Raw genomic sequence first — 5,106 nt, forward strand, 5'->3', positions numbered from 1 at the left:
GAGTGGTTTATCCTATCCTTGGACTGAGAACAATAGCATGCTATTCCTATGGTTATCTCTATCAAGGGTTCTGTCAACAGAAAAACAAACATAGGTCAACTGCAGTTTAAAGCTTAGTGCTGTTTCATTAAGTAAAATACTACAAAGGAGAGAAAGGCTTAAGGCAGTAAAAAAGGTTAGATTTGTCTTTTACTCTTTCTACAACCAACGTCATTAACTCAGCCATTTGTAGGCTACCAGATCAATCACAGTGACAATAATTCTGGGATTTTCTTCTGGCCTACAAATCTGTTGTGTTGTACCATGAGAAACAGAAACACATGTGTTGTGCTTAGGAAGTATAGTTATTACTGATTAGGAATACTTATTTTTATATGATTTCACCCACTCATTTAATTTTGTCTACATACATAATTTCCTTTGTGACAATAGGATAGTATAGTGGTTTGAGGCTCCCTAAAACAGAATTTTAGATGGAGATTTATGTGTAGGTAATTTATAGACAGAGCGCTCTCTGGTGAAACTTGTGAAGACAAAGCAAGAGAAAAAGCCAAGGAAATGCGTAGTTTTACCTAAAGTTAAAATCAGCCTGATTTCACAGGGAATTCAAGAGTATTAGTTACATCACAGAGTTGTCCTTCATTGAGATAAGATATTTTGCCACCTATTATCAATCGCTCATTGTCTGTGGATAGCTGAAGATAATAGGAGACATAAAACCGTCTTGGCATTTCTCTCTTCCCAGGGCAATTCTCCAGAGAAAGATGCAGTGGGGGATGTTAGCAGCCAACCCTTTGGGAACCTGGGGCATGTGTAAACAGGTCTGCTAAAATAATTGGAGCACATTACCCATTTTTCCACTACACATGGAGTCCAGCATTTTATTTCATGTTTCTTTAATCTAGTGGAGTCTTTATTTCTGGGACTGGCAGCAATCTGTGTAATGAAGGTCCAGAATTCAGGCACAAACACCATTACTGACACTGCTAAGCTGGCATCCACAGCGGGGATCAAACAAGAATACAATATAAGATTTTGGTCTTTGTGAAAACAACATGTGCTCATGTATATCAGTGCCCCAGCAGGAGATTTATTCTAGGGACCCAGAGCAGATGGTACAGTTGCCAATTGACCTTTATGGAACATTGTTCACTGCTTGACTTTACTAAAATAAAGAGAAAGAAAAAAAAAAAAAGACAGCTTTCCCAGGCTCAAGAATATATTTAATCTACCTACATATTTGTTCTGTATTCATATGTGAACACCGAAATAACTTATATTTTACCTAAAATGAGACTTTATGACAATTAAATGTGGAGTAGACAATATCAGCGTTGCCAGATAAAATATAGGATTTCCCAGCTAAATTTAAATTTTAGATAAACCACAAATAATTTTTTAGTACAAGCTTTTCCATGCAATAAGTGGGACATACTTGTATTAAAAATGTATTCACTTTTATCTGAAATTCAGAATTACCTAGATGCCAGTAGTTTTATTTGTTAAAATCTAGCAATCCTAGGCAATAGACCAGAGTACTTAAAACATTAAACTTACAATGCAATGATGCTTTACAATTTCAAACAAAGAAATATTTTAAAAAATCATTTGTCCTGCATTTCTATTATCAATATACAAATTAAAGATAAAGGTATATTTACAAAGAAATAAGAAACAAAGCATAAAAATATATTCAAGTGCTTGAACTGTTGCTCCCCTAAACTTCCTAGGAACATCAAATGTTAAACATAAACTCACTCTTACACACACATATATACATGTGAACATACACACAATTTTTCATTCTCATTAAGTTTTAAAAGGCTACTGTTTGGTGAAGTTACAGCATCAATTTATAAATGATATATAAAAAGAAAAATCTCAGTTCCCCTGCAGTGCCTGTTGAAAACACATCGCATTACCTTCACTGCTGAGCAGAGAGGTACTGAACTGCTAGCTGTAATATTGCTTGGAATTGGAGACATCCATCACATGAGGAACCCCACCAGTTGGAAGGAAAGGAGAGTTTCTTTATGTGTGATCTCCCTGTAGGAATGGAAGCAAGGAGTCAGTTTTTCTTGTCCACTCTTTCTTCTCCTTTTCATTTTTGTATTATTGTTCTGGAATTTATTCCACAGCAAGTTATTCTCTCATCTACTCACACACACTATTAACAAGCTAAAGTGTTTGCATGAGTTTCTACTGTGCATCACCAGTTTCTTTATTTTTAATAAAAAGTTTCTGAGGAAAAAGTAAGAAAACTAAGATAAAAATTATCTTTAACAATTTTAAATTAACAATACTAAAACTTCAAGCCAGTCAAATGCAGTCTGATCTCATTTTAAGAGAGAATTCTTTTGTTTTAAACAGATGTGTCTGGAAGACCTCTACTCAATCATCCAGTTTGAGTTGTATTTCTCCAATAATTTGAATTAATCCATTATTTAAGAATTTTGAGACTAAGAGTAATAAAGTAGATATTATAAAGTTCAGTAAGCCACTCATAACCCTGGGATATCCTTACAGTTTTTGCTTGTTTGTTGCTTCCTTGTTAGTTTTTTAGCTTTTGCTTTCTAGATTTCAAAGTTATACAAACAAGTTGAAGAAAAAGTAACAAACGTAATTCAAATGGTGGAAATAATAAGTTTTTTTTTTGTTTTTTTTTTTGTTTTGTTTTTTTTTGTTTTTTTTTTTTTTTTTGAGACAGAGTCTCGCTCTGTCACCCAGGCTGGAGTGCAGTGGCGCGATCTCGGCTCACTGCAAGCTCCGCCTCCAGGGTTCATGCCATTCTCTTGCCTCAGCCTCCCAAGTAGCTGGGACTACAGGCGCCCACCACCACGCCCCAAAGTGCTGGGATTACAGGCGTGAGCCACCGCACCCGGCCAGAAATACAATGTTATAGTAATAAAAATTATCTAAAATAGAAAATTAAAAAATGTATATATTGTGCATCCTGTCTCCACAATGGGACAGTAAAACCAAAGCTCTAGTAGATAGTGGCATCATGGCATCACTGAAGCACAGTGAGAGTAGGGAGCCCTTAACAACTGTTGGAGTCATGGAGACATTTGTAATTGCCCCCACCCTAACCTGTCCCAGATGCATCACTTGGGAAAAGGCAGTCGTTAAATTAATGTTACAGACACAGATAATTCACAAAAGGCCAGATGGGTAGATTTAGGACTGTGAAAGCAGGGTATAGATGAGTCTTGATTTTAACATCAGTGACTCTCACCTCAAGGTATATCTGTTTTCCAGTGTCTTTTCTTTCTTTTCTTTCTCTTTCTTTCTTTCTCTCTCTCTCTTTCTTTCTCTTTCTCTCTCTCTTTCTTTCTCTTTCTCTCTCTTTCTTTCTTTCTTTCTCTCTTTCTCTCTCTTTCTTTTTTCCTTCCTTCTTTCTTTCTTTCTCTTTCTTTCTTTCTTTCTTTCTGTCTGTCTGTCTTTCTTTCTCTTTCTTTCTTTCTTTCTCTTTCTTTCTTTCTTTCTTTCTTTCTTTCTTTCTTTCTTTCTTTCTTTCTTTCCTTCCCTCCCTCCCTCCCTCCTTACTCTCTCTTTCTTTCTTTCTTTCTTTCTTTCTTTCTTTCTTTCTTTCTTTCTTTCTTTCTTTCTTTTCTTTCTTTCTTTCTTTCTCTGTCCTCTTTCTCTCTCTTTCTCACCTAAATAGGCATGTTCAGGCTAGGGACTGGGATACCTTACCCAAATAACATTGAGTAAAAGTAGCTGATGTTCTCAGTGGAATACCATGAGGAGCACAAATGTTATAAAATTTAAAAAGCATACAATACAAACATGAAAAAACAGGGAAAAACAGACTAAGTGGCATAGACAGAACAATAATTTCAGTAAGCATAATAAATACAATAAAGTGAAAAGACAGTGTATGATATTGGAAATGTAAGGTGGAATGAGTAGTTGTAAAGAAAATATGGTATAAATGAACTCAAACAAATTTACAAGAAAAAAACAACCCCATCAACAAGTGGGCAAAGGTTATGAACAGACACTTCTCAAAAGAAGACATTTATGCAGCCAAAAGACACATGAAAAAATGCTCATCATCACTGGCCATCAGAGAAATGCAAATCAAAACCACAAGGGGATACCATCTTACACCAGTTAGAATGGTGATCACTAAAAAGTCAGGAAACAACAGGTGTTGGAGAGGATGTGGAGAAATAGGAACACTTTTACACTGTTGCTGGGACTGTAAACTCGTTCAACCATTGTGGAAGTCAGTGTGGCAATTCCTCAGGGATCTAGAACTAGAAATACCATTTCACTCAGCCATCCCATTACTGGGTATACACCCAAAGGATTGTAAATCATGCTGCTATAAAGACACATGCACACGTATGTTTATTGCGGCACTATTCACAATAGCAAAGACTTAGAACCAACCCAAATGTCCAACAATGATAGACTAGATTAAGAAAACGTGGCACATATACACCATGGAATACTATGCAGCATAAAAAAAGATGAGTTCATATCCTTTGCAGGGACATGGATGAAGCTGGAAACCATCATTCTCAGCAAACTATCACAAGGACAAAAAAGCAAACACTGCATGTTCTCACTCATAGGCGGGAATTGAACAATGAAAACACATGGACACAGGAAGGGGAACATCACACACCAGGGCCTGTTGTCAGGTGGGAGGAGCGGGGAGGGATAGCATTAGGAGATATACCCAATGTTAAATGACGAGTTACTGGGTGCAGCACACCAACATGGCACGTGTATACAAAGGTAACAAACCTGCACGTTGTGCACATGTACCCTAAAACTTAAAGTATAATAACAAAAAAAAAGAAAATAGAGTATATACTACTGACAACTAAGTTAACTAGGTAAAAGAGCAACCAAGTCACCAATATGTGTTCAGTAGCAAAAGGTATTTTTATAGAGATGAAGTCACTAAGCTGGAAGTAATTCAAACCAGGCATTATCAGAACGGTAAAGAAAGATGGTAAAATAAGGAAAAAACTTAGCAGATTTGGAATGTAGATGTCAAAATGCTTAAAGTACATATAACATGAGAAAAAAAATGAGAGAATAAAATTGAATTGCAGAATAACTTGAAGGTATCAGAACGGTCTAAATATA

The sequence above is a fragment of the Homo sapiens genome, chromosome 13, assembly GCF_000001405.40.
Source record: "Homo sapiens chromosome 13, GRCh38.p14 Primary Assembly".
Taxonomy (NCBI): domain Eukaryota; kingdom Metazoa; phylum Chordata; class Mammalia; order Primates; family Hominidae; genus Homo; species Homo sapiens.